The 22,716-nt window shown below is 40.6% G+C and overlaps 1 long non-coding RNA gene, 4 gene segments (V, D, J or C) and 2 further genes, besides 2 other annotated features; 6 read left to right on the forward strand and 1 right to left on the reverse strand.

Annotated features, from left to right (window-relative positions):
* The window catches only part of TRA (T cell receptor alpha locus), a 930,229-nt gene that overhangs the window by 807,338 nt on the left and 100,175 nt on the right, over positions 1-22,716 (forward strand).
* The window catches only part of TRD-AS1 (TRD antisense RNA 1), a 103,555-nt gene that overhangs the window by 49,837 nt on the left and 31,002 nt on the right, over positions 1-22,716 (reverse strand). For 3 of the 4 annotated variants that reach the window (NR_148362.1, NR_148364.1, NR_148363.1), the window contains exon 1: positions 3,425-3,512. The exons of the other annotated variant lie outside the window; for it this stretch is intronic. This is a non-coding gene — a long non-coding RNA (TRD antisense RNA 1). Of the gene's footprint in view, positions 1-3,424; positions 3,513-22,716 lie in introns of those variants that run through there. 4 annotated transcript variants of the gene reach the window in all.
* The window catches only part of TRD (T cell receptor delta locus), a 44,032-nt gene that overhangs the window by 6,696 nt on the left and 14,620 nt on the right, over positions 1-22,716 (forward strand).
* Positions 4,100-4,159: an enhancer, noted in NCBI's record as "active region_8115". NCBI's record gives its function as "activates an Ori minimal core promoter by ATAC-STARR-seq in GM12878 lymphoblastoid cells {active_cell/tissue: GM12878}" and the evidence as "EXISTENCE:reporter gene assay evidence [ECO:0000049][PMID:35858748]".
* TRDD1 (T cell receptor delta diversity 1) lies at positions 9,306-9,313 on the forward strand. The segment is given in 1 exon segment: positions 9,306-9,313. A coding segment is annotated over 1 exon segment (8 nt), but the record flags the coding sequence as incomplete, so codon positions are not given.
* TRDD2 (T cell receptor delta diversity 2) lies at positions 9,766-9,774 on the forward strand. The segment is given in 1 exon segment: positions 9,766-9,774. A coding segment is annotated over 1 exon segment (9 nt), but the record flags the coding sequence as incomplete, so codon positions are not given.
* Positions 18,710-19,245: an enhancer, noted in NCBI's record as "H3K27ac hESC enhancer chr14:22916943-22917478 (GRCh37/hg19 assembly coordinates)". NCBI's record gives its function as "activates a minimal SCP1, AML or CMV promoter by ChIP-STARR-seq in naive H9 embryonic stem cells {active_cell/tissue: H9 hESC(naive)}" and the evidence as "EXISTENCE:reporter gene assay evidence [ECO:0000049][PMID:30033119]".
* On the forward strand, positions 19,872-19,884 carry TRDD3 (T cell receptor delta diversity 3). The segment is given in 1 exon segment: positions 19,872-19,884. A coding segment is annotated over 1 exon segment (13 nt), but the record flags the coding sequence as incomplete, so codon positions are not given.
* TRDJ1 (T cell receptor delta joining 1) lies at positions 20,848-20,898 on the forward strand. The segment is given in 1 exon segment: positions 20,848-20,898. A coding segment is annotated over 1 exon segment (51 nt), but the record flags the coding sequence as incomplete, so codon positions are not given.

Consider the following 22,716-nt stretch of genomic DNA (forward strand, 5'->3'; position numbering starts at 1 on the left):
CTTCCCCAACCACAGGGATAAGAATACAAAGTGAGTGATGCATTTCTCTCACTGGTCCCCAGATGACTCCACTCTAGCAGCCCCGGAAAAGAACCTGCAGCCTCATCTATACCTGCAGGTTGATGTGCCTCCCAAAAACTGTCTCACTCAGTTGTGGAGCTGAAATCAATCATGTGTTCACCTCAGTGGGGTTCTTGGTTTTTCTTTTCTGGCTTCTCCAAAAAGCCAATCATAGAGAAACCTGAGGACTGTGGAGCCACTATGGAGAAGGCTGGAGTGCCTTTACCATCCCTAGCTCAGCTTTAGGGATTCACCCTCCAGGACCTCTGAGTGTGCTGGGATCACACGGCCTAAGGTAGGCCCTAGAGTCAGTTTCTGTCTTTACCTGCCACCTGACAGGAGTGAGAAGTTTTACTTAGAGGCAGTGAGAAGGGAAGTCAGCAGCCCCAGGGACAGTACAAAGGAGACACAGCCTGAGTGTGTGTTGTCAGAAGCTCTGTCACAGCGAAGGCCTCCTCGGGCATAAAGACCTCACTGTGTTTGCATAACACCTGTGTTATAATCGTGAGTGATCAATAAAGGATTAACTGCCTCAGTCATCTAAGGAAATGAAGAAGGGTTTTATGCACCAAGTTCATAAATAAGGACACAGAAAAAAACCACGAAGGCCAGTGTAGCTGCCTCTGTACGTTGAAATTAGAGAACTGGTACAATAACAATAACCCACCTCTGTAGTAAGAATCAATGTAAAATCTTTGAGTTCATAGCTAGTCCATTTCTCAGCATCAAAACCATCATTTTGCTTTCTGTATGGAGGACGTCCACCCCCACATATGCACACTCAGAGTGTCAGAGCAATGAGAAACCAATTACCATCAGGCTCCACCTCTTTGGTTGAAGACATAGAAACTGATGAATGAAGAAATTAAGTGACTTTTCCAACATCACACATATAGTGCAGACAGGTAAAGTGATATACTGTACTTCTGTCTCTTTCCTCCAATATCCTAGAAGTCAAGGGCTAAGAAAAGACAGAAAGGGTAAACCATGTGATCATGCCAAAGTGAAAGAAAAATGGCAGCGGAGTGTTCTCCACATTCCAGACAACTACCTCCTGCCACCTTCTAGGTGGCAATGCAGTCCAGGTAGGTAAAGCGATATACAAAAATAAATAGCCTTAATCATTCACAAAAATATTAATGTGTGTCAAATTTAAAAACAATGAATTGCAAATTGCCCCTAACTTTGGCAAGATCCTTTCACCTACCTTAAAATGGACAAGTTTACAAATTTGGGCTATAAACTGCATATAAGTTTTTGTTGGTTTTTTTTCTTCCTTGAGACGGAGTATCACTCTTGTTGCCCAGGCTGGAGTGCAATGGCACAATCTCAGCTCACTGCAACCTCTGCCTCCCAGGTTCAAGTGATTCTCCTGCCTCAGCCTCCCGAGTAGCTGGGATTACAGGCAGGCACAACCACGCTCAGCTATTTTTTGTATTTTTAGTAGAGACGAGGTTTCACCACGTTGGCCAGGCTGGTCTCGAACTCCTGACCTCAGGTGATCCACCTGCCTTGGCCTTCCAAAGTGCTACGATTACAGATGTGAGCCACCATGCCCGGACACATATGAGTTTTTATAAGTAAGTTCTTTTAGTAGTGAAAAAAGCATAGGCTCTGGAATCAGAGAAAAATAGAATCACAACCCCTCACTTCATAGTTCTGTGACCTTGAAAAATGTTGCTTTAACTTTTCTAACCCTCTATTCCCTCATCCACAAAATAAGGATAATAATTGCATAGAGTTATCATAATGATCAAATTAAATAATTGCAAGTAAGTACCTGAGTGACTACAAAGCAGAGGTGCTCAATAATACTAACTCCATTCCTTTCAGCACCCGATGGTCTGCAGTAGAGCGGTTTCACCCTCTACTCCAGACAGAAGGAGACAGAAAAGACAGAAAAGCTAGAATGGGAGAGAACATGGCCAATGACCACCAGCATTTTTCCAAACCAAGAAATCTAAAGTGCCTATCAGCACATTTTTTATAAAAATACCTCCTCAGGAATGTTCTTCCCACACAACCTCTCTAAATCCTTTCCCTGCACTAATGATAGTGAAGGTCCCAAAGGCAAGACCATCACTGGGAGGGTCTAGCTCCCCAACAAGAGATGATGCCCTCATTGCCCTTCATTTGCAGAGATGAAGGTGACACAGGTCAATGTCAGCTTCACCAATAGTAACAGGGAGAGTAATTTTTTTTTTTTGAGACCGGGTCTCGCTCTATTGCCCAGGTCGGAGTGCAGAGGCATGACCATGGCTCATTGCAGCCTCAACCTCCCGGGCTGAAGTGATCCTCTCGCCTCAGCCTCCTAAGTAGCTGGGACTACAGGTGTGCAGCACCATGCCTGGGTCATTTTTTAATTTTTTGTAGAGACAAGGTCTTCCTATATTACTCAGGCTGGTCTTAAATTCTTGAGCTCAAGTGATGCCCCTGCCTCGGCCCCCCAGAGTGCCAGGATTACAGGCATGAGACCTCACGCCCTGCATGAATGAATTTTTTACATCAAACCTTCTCCAACAAACTTGGTTCAGATGTCTGAGACAAGAGTTGCACAAAGGAGTCTCAGTCTTCAGAAAGTTCATCCTTACCCAGCTTTATGGATGCTCTAGGACACATTTAATTCTTGCATCCATTTAGGAACAGAGATCTTCTCCCATCCTTAAAAGGGAAACTATAATATTAATTACTGACCTGTGATGAGTCAGCTGTCCATCCTCATTTGGCCCATGCTGTCTACATGAAGTTAGTTTTCACTGTAGTGCTTGGCCAAGAAAAACCAAGTTTTTCTAAATGAATTCCAAGGATAAATAGCCTAATTCCTGTTCTTTGGCTTCTTCCACTAAAGAATTATAGGGACCTGATCTAGGGAAACTGGGGGGAAAAGCCAGGGAATGAGAGCCACTGTCTTGCCAGAAATGCATGTTCTGATGAGGAAAGATAGTTCAGGATATCTGCGCCAAATCACACATTGGAAAGAAGCTTTCTGAGATCTGAGGAAACTTCCACCTGCTAAAAAGAGCTAGCAGTCTGCTGGAAAGAAAAAAATTCATTCAGGTGTCAGAACTCTTACTCTTCACTTTGTGTGTGACTGTAGACAAGTCAGTTAACCTCTTTGCACCTCAGATTCTCATCTGTACAGTAAAGAGTTCACATTAGATTGTCTCTAAGTTTCCTTCAGCACTAACAAGCCGTGGGACATAGGAGAACAAATTTGAAAGATTCCTGAGATACAGGAGTATGGATTCCTGCAGCTGATTCCTTTATGTGACCCAGTAAGGATAAAATCGAAAAAAGGAACTAAACGAAATACACTCTTGATTAATCAAAGGGGATTGAAAGTCGTGGCTAACCTCACACCTACCTTGCATCACCTCCAGCTCACCTCCCTTGAGACACTCCTCCTCTTCTTTAATGCCTCATCATGATTCTCAAAAACTGTGATCACTCAAGGTTGAAGCTTTTAATCTCCCATGTATAAAAGGATATGCAAATAGAGTTCAGTTTCCTGTTGAGTCTCTGCCAAGGTCTTAGCCTGGCAGTTCTGGGAAAAGAGCCAAAGACCTCATATTTCTTGGCTGTTAACATTCTCCCATCTGTGCTCAAGTCAGCAGCCTAGGCTTCAGGCTGTGGTTTGTCTTTAGTCTTACACTTTCCCAAGTTTTCTGAAGGAACCCTTTAGAATGTTCCTGCAAGAAAGTAAGATACAAGTGGCTCCCAAGAAACCAGACAGAGGATTATCTGGTTATATTTGGAGGCAGTAAGAAAAAGACCAGGAAGTCTATATTCCTATAGTATATAGCCACAGAATCCAATCTTGCAAGCTACTTGAAATGCTGATATTAATTAAGTCTTAGGCAGGGCTTTCAATAAGTCATCTGTGTCTCCAATATGGGATGTCCCACATCATGCATATGCACAGTGAAAAAAAGCGAGGTCCTTGGGTACAGTACAGCATTCAAAAATTAAAGATCTGAAAAACACAAGACATCTCAGTGTGCTTCCGGGCTGGAGGCTCTGCTAAACAACAGAAGCAGAGACCGGACTAATTGTCCCCCATGTCTCTTTGACTGAACTCACACAAAATAGAATCTACCATTTTTACTCAGTGCGGGGTACCCAGACTCAAGTTTACTGCAATGTTGTTACCAATATTCTAATGGAAAATTATATATTCAGAGCTATGTTAAATTTGACCATTTATTAAACATGAAATTTCTACTTTTTCTGTAAGTGCCTTGTCTTACTTGTATTTCCCGGTATTTCCCTTCTAAAGCTAACTCCCCAAAGGGCTTTCCTGTATGTTCTCACTTCCATTACAAAGTCAATGTACAAGTTAATTTTTTTAATTTCTTTAGAAACCTTTATAAAGAGATTTCCTCCTTCATTTCTCTGTTATCCCAGGCAGCTGTCAGGAGCAAAGAGCTCAAGCCTGCACTGCCTTGGAACAGGACATCAGCAAAAGACACTCTCAATCTACTCAGAAGGCTGAGGTGGGAGGATTGCTTGAGCCAGGGGTTCAAGACCAGCCTGGACAACTAAGTGAGGCTCAGTCTCAAAAAAAAAAAAAAAAGATCTCAATATTATTGTTCCATACCCAGTCATTCACTTGGTGTTTTCTGCAGCATTTATTTATAAATATCTCAGTCTGTTCTTAATCCTTGAGCCTATATTTTTTAAAATCATACTTTGATATCTACTCAGAGTATTGATTCTCTTCAAATTTCCCACCTCTTAGTTCTCCTCCCACTCTCTCCCACCCTGAGCCTTACACCTCCAACAATGATCATTCTAAGACCATTTATATCTCAATAGGAAAGTGATGTAAAACGGGTCTCCTTACTCTGTTTTGGAGGGTTTTTTTGTTGTTGCTGTTGCTTGCTTCTCTGTCCCACCCCAAACTCATGTGTGTCTGAAATTTAGCACCACCTTGCGACGTTTGTGAGCATTTTTCTCAGAGCAGCATTTTGAGACTGAGCCTGAACTCCACTGATGTTATGACCCTTAAAAGTGTCTGGCTCCAAAAGACTAAGGAGTTCCTGCGTAAATCCAGGTCCAGCTACTTCATCACTGTGACTTGTTATTGGAAAAGGTTGAGCTATCAACATATTGCTCCTGTAAAGGCTCAGAACTGAATCTTAGATTCTTCAGGATATTTGAGTCCTCTGAGGCTCCTGGGTAAAGACTCCAATGTAGCAGTTCTGTGGACTATAAATGGGAGATATCCAGATCATACACCTTCAATGGAAGAAAAAGCACTGTCACCTTAGACGACTCCAACTCTGTAGTCTACTTTTGTCTTCCTAATATCATACCTCATTCTCCAGTGGGTTTATGGCAAGCCTCATCTACTCAGAAGTAACCAAGTACAAGCCAACACACTCTTGTGTTAGTGTGGAGGCCCAAAGTGGCATAAGTGAATGTGACTCCAGATGAAAACCTTCCCCTCTCCAACACAAAGATGCCAAAGACTATGTATAAAGCAAGTCTTAAATCACTCTATATTTCCATTTGAATATATTTCCCCAGTTCCTGTGCATTGCTTCTGCATACACAGAATTCAATGATAAAAATTGAGACTGTCTCCTAGATACAGTAATTAACTCAGCTATCAATGCCAATTGACTGTGTAGAGGGGAGACAATTTTGTACCAAGATTTACTAACCTCTATTTTAATGGAAAAACAATGGAAAAGCTTTCTTCCTACTATGACTCTCTCTGGATAAATTGCTTGCCAGGAAGCGTTAGGATAATTCTGCCATGACTCTTTGTCTTCCACACCCAAAGACATTTGGTCTCCATCACATATGGAGGAAGGATCTCCTTGTTCAGCAGTATTTACACCATCACCCTGACACCCGCAGTCAGATCTAACTATACAGCTTGGCTAATAAACCTGGAGAAGCTCATATTCTAAGAAAAAAGTGGAGAGTGGTGGGACAGATGGGGCCTGAGTGCTGGGAAACTGCCCGTGCCCACTGCTGACTTGGTCTTCTCACCAGCTGCTTGATCTAACAGATGCATCTTCCTTATGAGGCACCAGAGAACCAGAATGTCCACATCCTGTGGTCCCCTGTACCCTTAACACCCCACATTTGAGTTCCTTTCCAATTCAGAAAACAAAACCTGCAGGCTTTGAGCCAATTTACAACAGATGTGGGTCACAACAACCAACTACCCAGGAAGCCTCCACCAGAACGCAGCGTGAGAATCAGCTTCTTAGATATTCCCATACGTGTGATCCCATCAATCATTTAACAACTGTCAAAGAGAAAGACTAGGAGACTTTCTCCCGAGCATCTCCAGGGATTTAATTCACTATGTTGGAAATTAAGAGATTACTACTAAGCCATAAGAAGGCTAAGACAGAGTTAAAAGAATTATTGGAAGGTTGGCATTACAACTTTACGTGTACACTAGGAAAATCTGCAGCTCTACCTGTAGCTTTGACATAATGCCTTCCTATACCCTGTCCTTGCCCAACTGTGACTCCCACATCATGGTCATACCCTGGATAGGCCCCTCTCTGCATGTAGAGCAATGTGAATGGGGATTCTGCTTATCAGGATATCATCACTAGTCTGTGCCAGGCCTTGCAAGAATGTCCTTGTACTGCAACTATTTGTACCAGATGGTACCCTGGCCACCCCTAAGTGTGCAGACTTTTTAACTTTTTCCCCCAAGAAAGTGGTCCCTGATGTGCACTGCCTACTGAGTAAGGCTAAGAAAGATAGGAAGGAAGAGGACAAAGTGCAAGGAGAGAAACATTTTTGCAAGGAGAAAAATAATGATGTGGATGCAGAATATTTATCATGTGAATTCATATTAACCTGACTTCCTCAGAAAATGTCACCGTTAGTATTAGAATGTGTATTTCCTTCGGAGCTCTGAAAGAAAATATGAGAATTCAAGGGGTGCTAGTGCAGAATACACACACACACACACACACACACACACACACACACACTGTGCTTCACTGTGGCTGGAATGATGCAGAGTCTTGGCAATAGTTCGGGAAGCTGCTAGCTGTCCGCCCATTGTAAACAGTGAAGTAGGTCATCTGTGGCTCCCCATCCTCATCTGTCTGGGCCATTTTCTTGGGCCCTCCTCCACATCCCATTCCTCATATGTTCTCATTCTATTTCCATCAAACCTCAATCTCAAGAAATGACCTGAAATCAATTCGTACTAATGTTTGAGTCATGAAAACAGAGGAAGGCTTTAGCTTCTCTGAGATTGGCAGGGAGGGTCGCTAGTGAGCATTGTATTTTCATAAAGATAATAGCCATAAGCTAAACACTGCAGCAACCACAGCAGAATTTTCCAAGCCTGAGGAACACTGCCCAAAATGAAAGACAGAGGTTTGTTCTCTCTTTGTTTGGAGGTTCAGTGTGGATCATACACAGAGAGTCTGGAGCCTCCCACAGTGGACACTTCTTTTCCTCTGTCCAGGGAGAAGTCCAGCTGGAGCAGACAACCAGAGAGAACATTAGCCTGACCATGGGGAAAGGCATTGCAGCAGAATTAGGCCCAATAGAGGAAAAAAGATGCCTGGAAAGAAATTTCATTTCAATAGCAGGAATAGCTTTGTAAGAGCTGATAGCCATTCAACAGTGAAACAAGCATCCTTGTCAGTGGATGAGTTCGGTGGATGACTACACTGGGAAGGTTGTCTACATTGGTTGGGAGCTAAACTCAGTGAGCTCTTTCCCTCCTAGAATTCATTATATACTGTATGTATATGATTATATATACTCTGTGTATGTAATCGTGTATTACATATACTCCATATATGTATATTACATATACATATATTACATATACTCTGTATATGTAATCATACTCCATATACACATTTGTATCCATTACATATTCAATTTTCCATGCTATTGGATATTTTTCCTATTCAATAATTTTAATAAGCTATGTTAATATTGTATCTAGAGCTACATTATAGTTTACTCAATCAGTTCTCTTCATGGTTGAGCATTTAGGCAACTTCTAAATTTTTCCTACTATGAAAATTATTATGATGAACACACCTGTACTTACAACTTTTTCATTATTTAAAGTCATCATATATGTATATGATGATTTGGATCCACTTCCACATCCCATTCCTTATATGCCCTCATTCTATTTCCATCACAACTCAATCTCAAGAATATTTCAGTATGTGACCTGAAATCAATGCATTCTAAAGTTTAAGTAATGAAAACGGAGGAAGACTTTAGCTTTTCTGAGGTTGGCAGGGAGGGTCACAGGTGAGCATTGTATTTTAATAGCAATAATAGCCATAAGCTAAACACTGCAGCAACCACAGCAGATATACAAATGGTATATATACAAATATACAATTATATTTGTATAAATATATATAAACATATAATAAAGTAAGCTCCTATTTTCTTAATTAGAAGATTCAAAGTTAAGAATTTTGTCCAACTTGAATATATGAAACTTTAGGGTTATAGAGAAATTAGCCAATTCTACTTTAGATGTTTTAATGTATTAATACAGTTAAACACACATATTTTAAAATTACATATTATATAAAATAATATATCAATTTTGAATACTGCTATTTCCTTTTAATAATTCATAAAATAACTTTAAATTCTTCACAGGCATTTCAAATCAATGTATTTGTTGCCACTAGAGCCACTTTTTTATCCTCAAATATTTTTCCAGAGTATATGAAACTCACTTTGCTAAATTGAAAATTAAGAGGCACATTAGATTTAGAAACATAATTTTAAATTGTTTCAATGATGGCACATTATTAATACCTACTTTGAGACACAATACATACTCACATAATATTAGAATCATTGTTTTGCCATTTATCCTGTAAGTGAATATTCATGATCTCCACAACAAAACATTTACTTTGATAGATTTGTTTAAACAATATCAAACACTTGCAGTCTTGAAGGCACTGGAAGACCCAAAAAATAGTTACTACGTTTCTGTTAAACTACTTAGTCATCTTTTTAACTAATTCTATCAGCTGACTGCCATAAGCATCCATGAGCTAGCATTGATTGAGATCATTCCAATGTGTCCTCACTAAACTGTACTTAACTGTTCAAAGCCAAATAATTAAGTGAAAGTATGGTAATACTGTTTTTCATAATTATTGTAAGGAATCAAATATAAGGGATTTCTTCTTCTCTGAGGATCATGAACCTTACTCCATGTTCAAATAGATATAGTATTTTTTCACAGTAAATTCCCCAAAGTGGAAATAGTCACTCAAACGAATACTTTTACTCTTTTGACATTAACCAAATGGCTTCCAATAAAAATCAAACAATTTATATTTTTACCAACATCTTGCCCACATTGGGAGTGTCAACATTTTGAGCAAAAGCTTTAATTAAATATCCATGCAAAAAATGGTTTGTTAATACTTTACAGTTTTATTACTAGAGGGTTAAAATCCTTTTTCAAGTCTGATAATCAATGATTAACTTTCTTCATTTGTCCTTCACCCATTTGTTTTTTAGGTTGATGGTGTTTTACTTATTGATTTGTGTAATTATAATAATTTTGTGTCTGAGTTTTACAGCATTTAACCACAAAAACAGCATTGGTGAAAGGAGTTTCAGGGGTATTGTGGATGGCAGCGGGTGGTGATGGCAAAGTGCCAAGGAAAGGGAAAAAGGAAGAAGAGGGTTTTTATACTGATGTGTTTCATTGTGCCTTCCTACCACACAGGTTGGAGTGCATTAAGCCTTTGTCCAAAAACACCCAGCCGTGACCCGCTATGTATGTCTCAGCATTGGGAAGAGTCCTCTGAGTGTCATGGGAAAATAATATATGAGTTTTATTGCCCCTGTGTCCCAATTATTTTCTGTTTACTCCATGTTGGTCTACAGCAATAGCTTCAGAACATAAACAAATATCACCAAAAACATCAGTGATGAACAATTCCAACCACACATTTCAATGTTTACTAAATATACCCGTGGCACTGTAAAAAAGAATATAATGGAAGAGTAAAGGAATTGGGACTGATCGTGACTGAGAACCTGTATAGTAGGCTACACACTAGCTATATGATGAACCAAGAAGTTGAACCCAAATCTAACTAACTTACATAATCCCTTCCTTTAAAGAACTTAATGTCCAGTGCAAAGCAAGTGTTCAAAAAAGTGTTTGTTGTGAATTGAATTCATTTCATTGGAATACAGCATGCTTGCAAAGTCCCAACTTTTTAAAATAATGTGTTTCTAAAGACCACTGGTCTTTAGAAAGACCAATGACCAAAGACCTTAGACCATTGGTCTAAGGACCATCTGGAAGCAGATCCCCAAGGTGAAATTCTGACGTTGAATTCCCAAATCTAACAGGTCATGTGCCTTGTTCTGATGAGAAAACTGTCGAATAAGGGAGTAGCAGTGGCATGAAGGTTGTTAGTAGGTAGCATAGGCCAAATGGCCCAGTGATGTGATGAAAAGTGCACTCCTCCAAATAAGACCCTAGTTACTAGAAAGTCACAAGTAGGTAAACAGATGCCGGGAGGGACAGTTTTTGTTGGATAAAGTCAGCAGAGAAAGGCTTTTGGAGGAGATGAATCCTGAGCTGGTGTCTACAGATAGTGACAGACTTAGTGCGACTAGGAATATTATGGAGAATAAAAGAATCTCCCTCTCTAACTAATGCCACCAAGCAGTCCCTTCACCCCAGAGCAAAGGCATAACCTATCTTCACCCAAGTGAACTATGTATTCTTGAAATATATCTCCTTGGAACTAAACCATTTTTCTGTTCACTTCAAATCAACCAGTGTTAATATCATAGATCTGACAGCTTAGAAGGCCTGTGTTCTCCTTCACTCTTCTCTTGACCCTATGTGAGTTTGATTCAAGAGCATGGGGATTAGTCCCTTCTCTTGAATTACAATCACCAATCAGCACACCACATCCAGTTGCTCTTTTTAAGTCTAGGAGAGCAAAAACAATGCACAGGTGAAGGAAACTATGCCTAGGCCTCATCCCTAGGTTGTACAAAGTAACTGAATTTATGGCTTCAAGGACAGAATAAATCAAATAAAATCAAAGAAGCCCATTTTCAGGGAATAGAAACAATTCACAGAAATAACACCTTGAATGAAATTCTCATTTTTAGTGCAGAAATGGAACATAACATTCTTAGATTACTTGCTTTCTAAAAGTGAATATTCTTTAGGTATTACTTTTTCAACATTGATGAGTTTACAACATTTCTTTTTGCATAGCAGACAAAACTGTGTAGGCATTCACAGTTACAGAAAGAAAAAATATGACTAGCTTCCTGCTTCACACAAAGAAATCATGCAAAAAAAAAATTTCAAGCCAAAAGAAAAAAAAAGTTTTAAAACATTTTAAAGTCTCATATTACTTGCTGGCTGTAATGGGAATGTGTAACTTTGTGAAGATGTCTGTAGCCATCTTATTCTAATGATCACTTATCTTTATCAAGCCATTATGTCCATCTTGACATGATGCAATACACAGGGCATAACATTACCTACACAGTATTTCTGACATAAATAAATAAACTAAAACTAATCAAACTTTTAGTTCTAACAGGAGACAGGAAGCTAGAAAAGCAAATTAAAGGATTCTACAAAGAAACATCTAGACAAATCCAGCAGGTGAGACATTCCACTGGACAACAGGTTCAGTCCCACCAATAATCAATGTCATGAAAAGGCAGGAAAAAAGTGCAGTAGAGGGGAAGCAGTGGAAGGAGAACTATTAAAGATTAAAGAGATTTTAAAGATTTAACAACAATGAAATGCACAGTCTTTGAATGGATCCTTGTTTTAAAAAAAAAAAAAATCTGTAACAGAGGCCAGGCATGGTGGCTCACTCCTGTAATCCCAGCACTTTGGGAGGCAGAGACTGGAGGACCACTTGAGCCCAGGAGTTTAAGACCCTGTGTCTGAAAAAAAAAAAAAAAGAAAGAAAGAAAGAAAAAGGAAAAAATAATCTATAAAAGACATTTGGAGCATTTGGAGGAAAACTAGGAAAACTTGACTATGGGTTGGCTATTAAGTTATTTTCGGGAATTTCTGTTAACTTTGTTAGGTGGAAAATGGTATTGTGGTTGAGTAGAAAAATATCCTTTTTTGTAATATATACTGAAGTGAATTGTCATTTTATCTGTATTTTTTTTAAATACTCGAGCAAAACAAATAGAAAATGTGACAAATGTTAACAACTGTTAAATCTAAGTGATCATTCTATAGATACTTATTTTATTAATCTCTTCTTTTTGGATTGTTTCAAAAATTTTATAATAAAATCCTTTTTTAAAGTCTTCATTTTGTGGGTGGGCATGGTGGTTCACTCCTGTAATCCCAGCACTTTGGGGAGCCAGGGCAGGTGATTGCTTGAGCCCAAGAGTTCTAAACCAGCCTGGGCAACATAGCAAAACTCTGTCTCTACAAAAGAATACGAAAATGTCACCAGGCGAAGTGGTGCATGCCTGCAGTCCCAGCTACTAGAGAGGCTGAGGTGGGAGGATCACTTGAACCTGGGAGATCAAGGCTCCCAGTGAGCCATGAGCATGCCTCTGCACTCCAGCCTGGATAATGGAGTGAGAACCTGTCTCAAAAAAATAAATAATAAAGTTTTCATTTTTAAATGGCCAACAAGTCTACAGCAAATTTAAACAATGAAAATATGAGATACAATATCTTCCTTAAAAATTAGCATATTTTCTTAAGGAATACTGCTCTGCTCGAAGAATTCCCTAGTTCTGTAAGCGTTCGAACAAATTAAAATCTTGTGTTTATATAACATATTTCTAAGACAACAATGAATTCTGTCACTAACTATATGAGTAAAATGAACAAGAAAACCACTAATAATGATGGTGCACATTTTAGATTCCTTTTATTCTTTTTCAAGACACAGACATAACTGAGATATCTTAAAATCACTGACTTTCAAGATTTGAGATAATGATAATAACTCAAGATCAAGTCTTCCCCTTGTGTTAGAAGTGGGGGTGGGACAGTTCCAGACTTCCACAGTTGTACCAATGAACCCCAATCAGATGATTTTCAAGTTACTTCTCCTTCAGGTGGGTGGGCATCAGAGAGAAGCTAAGAGAAGGTTTTGACAAAATCCAAAGTGTGTCCAGACCCCTCAAATAAGGTAACCTGACCAAGTTTAATACATTCTTAGGGCCTAATATGGATCTCAGTTAAAAATCCTGGTCTCTTTTAATTCTTGTCCAGTTGCTAAGTGTATTATTTGACCCATTAACTCTGCAAGTCATGTTGGTCCATTCTTCTTCTTTACGGTTTTGCAAAATACATCAGGTTACAGTTTCAAGTATCTGTCACTTAAACAAGTAAGCATTTATTATTTTTAATGGGAGGGCTAACATATTGCCACAGAAATATAGTATGGGTACTGAAGAAAATATACACAGACTCTCAGGTCATCACTGAGCCTTCCCACCATCATCATAGATCCAGCATCTGACTTCCAGAGTACCACCAAGAAGAAATCAGAGGCAGATGACATACATATCCATGGTCCTTGACTCTAGAGAGTCCAGCCAAAATGTGTGGGTCCATTTAATCATTTCTACAGAAATGGGAGGCTATTGCTCCAAATGACTTCTAACCACTCACTCATCCATCACTCAAAGCATATGATACAATTGATTTACCAGTCATTAGTAGGCAGGTAGAGAGTGGTGAAGCAGTGGAGAGAGCTTGGTATTTACAGCTGCTATTGCAACTTTGGTAGCACAAACAACATGGAATTAGGACAGGGATTTTCAAAGTATTGCCCACGGACTTCTGAGCACCTCAAGATCTTTTCAGGGAGTCCATGAGGTCAGAATTTTTTTCATAATAACAGCAAAACATTACTTGCCTTTTTCGTTGTGTTGATATTTACACTGATGGTGGAAAAACAATGATGGATAAAACTGCTGGTGCCTTAGCATGAATCAAGGCGGGGGCATCAAATCTGTATTAATAATCATGATATTCTTCACTGCCACATATTTTCAGGGGAAAAAAGTTAGTTTCACTTAAAAATGATACTGACTGTATTACCTTGCTAGGGCTGCCATAACAAAATACCACAGACTAGGCAACTTAAACAACAGAAATTTATTTTCTCATAGTTCTACAGGATAGAAGTCCAAGATCAAAGGGCTGGCAGAGTTGGTTTCTTCTAAGGACCCCTCCTCCATCTCCAGGCAGACAGCAGGCTTGCCGCTGTGCCCTCCAGAAAGGATGGTCTTTCCTCTTTGTGTGGGGAACACTGGTGTCTCTTCTCACAGTGTGTCCAAATTTCCTCCTCTTATAAGGACATCAGTCAGATTGAATTAGGGCCAACTTTAATGACCTCATTTTAACTTAATAACTTCTCAAAAGGCCCTTTCTGCAAATATAGTCACATTCTGAGGTTATGGGATTTAGGGTTTCAACATGAATTTGGTGGAAAACAATTCAACCCATAATACTGACAAAGCAATAACAATTATTAATTTTATTAAATCTCAACTTTCGAGTACATGTCTTTTTAGTATTCTATGTGACAAAATGATAAGTACACATAAAGCACTTCTGTTACATTCCAAATTATGATTGTTATCTAAGAGGAAACACTTGTGTGGTTGTTTGAGTTGCAAGCTGAACTAGCTACTTTTTCCATGAAACACACATTTTTGCTTGAAAGAACAATTGACAGGCAACTATGGTTATTCAGACTTGTAGATTTGCCAGGCATTTTCTTAAAAACAAATGAACAGAGCCTGTCATATTAAAATAAACAACTTATAGTTGTTGCTAATTATAAAATCTTTTTTTTTTTTTTGACAGAGTCTCACTCTGTCACCCAGGGGGGAGTGCAGTGGTGCAATCTCAGATCACTGCAACCTCCACCTCCCGGGTTCAAGTGATTCTACTGCTTCAGCCTCTCAAGTAGCTGGGATTACAGGTGCTCGCCACCACGCCCAGCTAATTTTTGTACTTTTAGTAGAGACAGGGTTTCACCATGTTGGTCAGGCTGGTCTCGAACTCCTGACCTTGTGATCTGCCCACCTTGGCCTCCCAAAGTACTGAGATTACAGGCATGAGGCACTGCGCCTGGCCTCCACCAGTACTCTTTAGCCTCTGTCCTTTGAGATGAAAGGCGTATATCCAGGGAGTCATTGCCACTTCACCCTGACCTCTAGAATGAAGACACATAAAACAGACCTAAATCCAACTCACATCTTGAAGCCAAGTCCAGGTGGCCTGCAGACCAGTGAGCAAAAGTGATACATGTTTGTTGCTGTAAGCAATTGAAATTTTGGGGTTGTTATAGATCACAATTACAACAAAAATAGCTGATTAATACAGATGGTGGGTCTTGAGAGGATTCTACCTTCATATGCTTTTAACTCTATGTCTCTAGCAATTATGAAATGGCATACCTAAAATTTTTGGTGGTTTCCTATTATCCTCAGGACAAAACAGTATAGCTTACTTGCTCCCTTAAATGCAGTTGCATTGAACTACTTACTTCCTGAATGCTCTGTGTTCTTTCATATTTCTTTGCTTGAGATGCCCTTTCCTTCTTCTATCCCCCAATTGGTCCGTAGTCCCTCTGTATTTTCAGGGTCTTAGCTCAGTTGTTTGCTTCCCTGCGAATTCCTAAATGACTACCCCAGTGATCTGGGTTAAGTGCTCACCCTTTTCGGAATTTTCATAGCATCCAGTACTTATCTCTATTTTCGCACTCAAAACCCTTTTTCTTTCTTCTTCATTAGGTTGAGACCCTTGAGAGAAGTGATCTGTCTTGTTCATCCCTGTATACCATGTACCAGCACAGAGCCTAACCCAGTGAGTGCTCAGAAAGTGCCTTCTGAACCCATTTTAAGGATGAGGTATCTCAGGTTCAGGGAAGATAAGCTAGTAAGTGACAGAGCCATGGCCAGATCTTCCCAACTCCCAGGTTCTGGCTCAGTGCCTGGTACTAGGCTGCCTTATGGAATACTGCCTTAACATTTGTTTAGTGGTATTAAAACACATTGGTTTTTAATATTAGCCTGAGTTAAACATGGTTGGTAAGTTTAATTTGTTGTGATTTACTCCATACCATATACTATATTCTAAAGCTGTATAGAAATGAGTTTCACATTGTCTACATATTTGGAGTATTCAAGTCATGTTCTCTTCCACTAAGATCAATTGCATCTCTGGAGAGGAATCCTCGAATGCCACAGCTGGGAGATGTTTCAAAGATCATGTATTCACTCTCCTAGGTTTTCAGATGAGAGAGTCTAGAAAGATCCAGAGAGGTTTCACAACTTGGCCAAGTCACCCAATTTCAAAAGAACTTACAAGAAATTGGGTATCTCTATCCCAGTGCAGTGATCTTTTTGGTACACTAGGCGAATGTCTTCTTTGGTCTTTCATTCTGGCATTTATGGTTTGAGACTGTTTCAGCCTGTCAGTGGATACCCTTCCCTGGAGTGGCCCTAGGATAGTCTGGGCAACCTGGTCCTTTCTTTCTCTGTGTAGATTTTAATCGTTATGTGAGATGCTCTTCTGCAGGAATGGGGAAGAGCAGGCACAAGGTGGATGAATCCTGAAGTTCAACTATTCCTGGAAGGAGACTGTGTCATGTTCTTTTTTCCAGGCAAACTCATTTTCAGAGGAAAGGGACAGTGTTGGAGGCTGAGTTGACTGTGGTACAGTTCAGTCCTGGCTGGGTTGAGGTCTCATGCTTGGGAGCAAATATATGGGATATTAAGCCAAGAAATGAAACAGGGATTAAACAGGGGCATCCTCCAGGCTTAGAATATTTGGGATTGTGAACTTTGAGCTAGTGTTATTTATCTCTACCCCCTGCTTCTGGTATTAACACACACGGTTTGAGAGTTGTAGACAGACTACGGCGTGTTTTAAAAAGGATACCAGGTTGTTTAACAGACTTCAAACCATGTCCTGGGAGGAATAGCTAAAACATATGGGAGACTGTAGACCAAAGGAAGGGAGGTATCATAGTGATCACAGTCTTCAGATATCTGTCAGAGAAGAGCTGGCATATCAGAAGACAGTTGGATTCTCATGTCTGCTTATGCACTCTACCTATTGCAGTATGTTGGTTTGGTTGAAATATATGAGAAAAATCTGGCCTCACATAGATATGTAGTATGAAAACAAAGGAGTATTTTAATAGCTTGTTCAAAATATTGTGGACATGATATTCTTTATATTGCACCATAATTATTTGACAAGAGGTAGTTTCTTTGAAGGTTAGTTGCAATGTGAAATCTGATACCATCTTAGTGAACTTATCATATTCTGTTACATTAAAACATTGGTTTATCCTGAAATTTGGATAGAACGTTCACCCATGCATGCTTCTTAACCCATCCATTAGTCACTTGAGAAAATTGGTTCGCTGTTAAGCAGCTTCCACCTGTTAGCACACATTTTATTATTCAATACCAAAATATTACAGTAGCTAACATCATCACTGGTCTCTTTAAGTCAGGAAAAATTTTTAAATATTGGTGAGCTATCTACTTCACAGTGACAAACATAAATTTCCTAAAACTCTAATTTTTCCTGGAAGCTTAGATTTTCTAATTAGCAGGCTGGGCACGGTGGCACATACCTGTAATCCCAGCACTTTGGGAGGCCAAGGTGGGCAGATCACTTGAGGTCGGGCGTTCGAGACCAGCCTGACCAACATGGTGAAACCCCGTCTCTACTAAAAATACAAAAATTATCTGGGTGTGGTGGGAGTGGCTATAATCCCAGCTACTTGTGAGGCTGAAGCAGTAGAATCACTTGAACCCAGGAGGTAGAGGTCGCAGTGATCTGAGATCGCACCACTGCACTCCAGTCTGAGCGACAGAGTGAGACTCTGTCAAAAAAAAAAAAAAAAGATTTTATAATTAGCAACAACTTAGCTTAGGAGGCTGAGGCAGGAGAATCATTTGAACCTGGGAGACAAAGGTTGCAGTGAGATGAGATCGCACCACTGCATTCCAGCCTGGGCAACAGGGAAAGACTCCGTCTCAAAAAAAAAAAAAAAAAAAAAAGAGAGAGTGCTGGTGGAAACCCATTATGTGACGTGTCTTGAAGCCTCAGCTTAGAACTGGCACACCGTCACTTCCACTCATATTCTATGAATCAAAACATAATGAAGCCCCAATGTCAATAGAGCCTGTAGTAGGAAGCCCTGCAAAGTCCCATGGCAAAGAACCTGGAGGTACACTTCTATTACAGGGAGGAAGTGAAGAGTTGGGAAGCTGCATTCTCATCAGGATTCCCAACTTCTGTTTCCTCTAACTAATCCTATTCACACCAGTTTCTGATGGCTGCTTCTTGGGAAAGTCACCAGCACTAGAAGGAGCTCAATGAGTCTCATATGGGTGAGTCAGAAGCTTATTTCATCAATCAGCTACCTCTTGCCATTTCAAAGACTAGTACCTAAGGCCAGCTACACTCAAGAGTCCAAGTGACAGTTCTTTATTCTCACCTGGTTCTCCCCATGAGGCCTTTTGCTGTATGCCATCCCATTACATCGTCTGTTATTGAAGCCATAACATTTCTTATTTTTCTCTTTTCCTATTTGCTTTTTTTTAATCAGCAAAAGAATGTTAGACTTTATATAGAGAGATAACGTTCCTTGGAGTTTATGGGGCAGGCATGCAGCTGTATGTAGGGTGGAAAGTCATTACAAAGGTCATAGGTAAAATAGTCATAATTAAATCAAACCATGGATTTGGATAAGACTCCAGGGAAAGTGTGAAGAGTAACCTTTTTAAATTCCTGCTCCCTGTTGATAAATAGCAACAACAACAAAATTCCTACTCTTCTTTCATGGTTAAAGTTTAATAAGGTCACTTTCGATGAGCCTATCACCTATCATATTGCTTTGTTTTGACAGCACTAGAACAGAGATCAAAGGCAAACAAGACCAGTGTCTTGTGAGCCCTGAGGAGAGGTTTTGAGAAGGCAATGACTGGGTCAAAACTCTGAGGTCAAACAAGATTAAAACTGAAAATCATCCGTTGAATTTGGCCAGAGCTGCTGCCTCTGATTGCTCAGGTTGTGCCTTCACAAGGGCATCTGGCAGAGAGGAGAAGTGGGGCTAAAATTCAATGCGTGCTCTGCCGCCAGCCAAGGCCCTGATGTGGCGTTGCATCTTCCGGAAAGGGAAGGCCTTTTATAAACCACACAAAAGTGCAATCTGTTCGCCAAGCTTGAACCCAAGGGGCTATCTCTACATTCACCCAGCAGGGCTGCCTTTTCTAAATCGCACAAAGCACCATATGGGCTACTGGCCTGAATTTAGCAACTGGGAGGAGGTCAATGGAGGGGACACAATTTTAAATTTACATGAAAACCCTTTGTAAACTGTATAACACTATTCAAGTGTAAAGCAGGAAGAGGTGATTCAGAAGCTTAGCAGGTGACAGGAGAAATTACACTGACCACAAGCCTTTTCTGCCTAACCCACAGCATGTAGAATCTCCATGAGACGTTTAAGTACCCGACAAACTCCTCAGTGGGAAACCATTTGAGGGCAGACTGGCCAGAAAGCACAGATGGGAATGGATGTGATTATTTCTAAAAGTCCATTCTAGTCACAAACCCCAAGGCAGATCTAGCCAGTGGGGCAGAAGAGCCCCAGACAGAAGCACCTGAGCCAGCTTGGCCTGACCTAACTGTCAGGACCCTTTGATCTTGCTGGAGCTTGACTTGGAGAAAACATCTGGTTCTGGGGATTCTCAGGGGCCATATAGTGTGAAACCGAGGGGAAGTTTTTGTAAAGCTCTGTAGCACTGTGACTGGGGGATACGCACAGTGCTACAAAACCTACAGAGACCTGTACAAAAACTGCAGGGGCAAAAGTGCCATTTCCCTGGGATATCCTCACCCTGGGTCCCATGCCTCAGGAGACAAACACAGCAAGCAGCTTCCCTCCCTGCTTTGGGGCCTGGAAGGGATAGCAGGAAGTTGACTGGACCAGGGAGATGACCACAGCTGCTGACCTCTCACTCACTGCTGTTCTTCCTTGGGTGAAACTGGCATTTCTACATTTTCTTACAGCACATTTGGGGAATACAAAAAGGCCTTTCTTAAAAACTATTCTTGTCTTGTTTTCATGTTGATTCTATTGCAAAAGAGAGTTATATGAGCCACCTCATACGGAATTTCTAAATTCAAACCTCTAGAGAGATTTACCCAAGTGCTTTGCTTTGCAGTTTGGGAGGATGGATTTGAAGAGAGATTGATTTTTTTGTAGGCAATCACCGGCCACAGTTGCTCATTCTAAAGCTGACTGCTCTGTAAATCACCCAGTGCTTCATGCCACCCTTTCTCCTCTTGCTGTGCCACACGTTATCTGCCTTTAAAGCAGCAGCACTGGTGTCTGTAAAGGCCTTAACCCTGGAGTAGTCATGGAGCCAAGACCCACCCCTTTGACAGTGCCAGCTTTCCAACACAGAGAGCTGAGTATGGGTCTAGGAAGTGAGAGCAATGTAAAACAATAGAAAGCAACAGTTCAGAGCACTGCATCAAGTGTACTGTGCTGGAAAGGTCCGCCATAGGAAATATGGTCCTCCATACTCCTCAGACAACAGCCTTCCGAAAGCAAACCTGTCCCTACCTGCAGATGATTAACCATCTATGAACCGGCTGGGTAAGCAACAAGTGCCATCTTTCATGGAGCTGAGCCTTAAAGATCCTCCAGTCCTAAAGCTGACGGGAAGAAGGTAGGTGGGAGCAGCGCTGAGGTTTTTGGAACGTCCTCAAGTGCTGTGACACCGATAAACTCATCTTTGGAAAAGGAACCCGTGTGACTGTGGAACCAAGTAAGTAACTCATTTATTTATCTGAAGTTTAAGGTTAAGGCATCCTCCATCTAAGGAGGCAGAAATAATCCTGAAATGGGAAATGGGTGAAATAGCTAGCATTTAGGAGGACTCCTGGGAAGAGGTGAAATATGGTTAATCCTTTCCATAGGAGAGGAGCAGAAGGTGTCTGTAAAAAAAGAGTTTGGGGCATATGAAGGGACCCTTCTGGCTCAGAGGAAACAGAGAACTCTGCCCAGTCCATCGAATTTGGGTCAGGCTGTAGAAACCACAGAGTCATTGGCCCAACTCCCTGAGCAGAGTCAGAATGGACACAGAATGAAGCTGACTTGAGTCCAGGTGGTTTTACCAACGTGATTCCAAACGTTCTGACCTCCCTTATGCCAAACACATCCTCCTGGAAGAGCTCAGAACTGAATCCGTCTCCTGGGCATGGAGGGTGGGGCGAGCGCAAGTAGTCCCTGGTGTTGCGATATTTCTCTTTAGAAGAAAATAACCTGTTTCAGACATTTGTTTCTAATTGTTTGAGCTGCAAATGAAAACTAGGTTACTAGTGAGAAATATGGGACATTCTGGTTCCCACTGAGACCAGATTCCAAGCAGGACAAAGTGAATGTGTAGTGCTTCCAACTAAGAAATGCTTTGAAGTCTCCAGGACACAGCCAGGAGAGTTCCCTACCACTCACCAGTGTTCATCGTTTTTGCAAAGAGTATATGGTGCCAGTCACTTATTAACAGTTATGCAAGAATCAATGCTAAGGTTGTTGAAGGATTGTGCTCAACACAGAAGGCATCTTTGGTGTCCTTTCAATGACATTTGAATTCGACCGTGTCTTGCTAAAAAATAAAATAAAATAAGACAGTGGTCTCCACCTGGCAGCAGATTCCAGTTAGATAGTACATATTAATCTTAAGTAAGAAAATGTAATAAACCAATACAAAAACCCATTTCGAAGGTCCTAGGGAAGTCTAGCAATAGGGGTCAGTGGTCCCAAATCTGCCCAACCAGCTGTTGGAAAAGAAACAGCATGCCCTGCCCTGGCTGGGACTTTGGCACTCAGCTCAGGTTTTTCAAGGTAAAAGAAGGCTCTAGAGAGATAGGGTGGTGATGGTGGGCTCTTCTCAGAGACCAAATGGGGACAAAGCAGTTCCAGGCATATGCAGGCAAGGAGGCTGAGGAAGGGGAAGGACAGGCATGAGCAACCCAAGACCTCACACACTGCAGGGAGAAAAGGGGCAGGGGCCCTGCCGTCAGGGAGAAAGACACCCAAAGTTGTGCTAGTGGAGTCAGTGCAGAGATGTTCAGACTTTTTTAAAAAATCAACATCTTAGTAAGATTTTGAAATTTTAACTAATTTGGGCCTTTGCCTTTAGACCTTATTATCCTTAAAATTTTCACTAAAATAAGTTTATCCACAATTCCAACAAAGCTAAAGACTGATTATCCTAATTTCCCTTTGTTTGCCAAGTAAGGGATGAATTAAGTTCCTCTGTTTACCCATTTACTTGGTCCATATTTCCCTAACTGCGGAGTGCACAGCACATATTTTCAGATGGAGAGACGTTCTTTTTATTTGCATGGATCTATCTTTTAATGGCTATCAGAATAGTACAACTAGGCTATCAAACCCATGTGATTTCAAGTTTCCTTTTAATTATATTTTAAGTTAAAAAGTGAATAAATTTTTTTAAATTATTAAGCAAATTATGACAGATGACTATGACCAAAAAAGCGGGGGAGATGTGCTTAATTGAAGTTTGGGAAGTGCTGAACTTCATATTGGTGCATTTCATCAGCCTTTGAAGTGAAAAAGTAAG

Source organism: Homo sapiens, chromosome 14, assembly GCF_000001405.40.
Source record: "Homo sapiens chromosome 14, GRCh38.p14 Primary Assembly".
Taxonomy (NCBI): domain Eukaryota; kingdom Metazoa; phylum Chordata; class Mammalia; order Primates; family Hominidae; genus Homo; species Homo sapiens.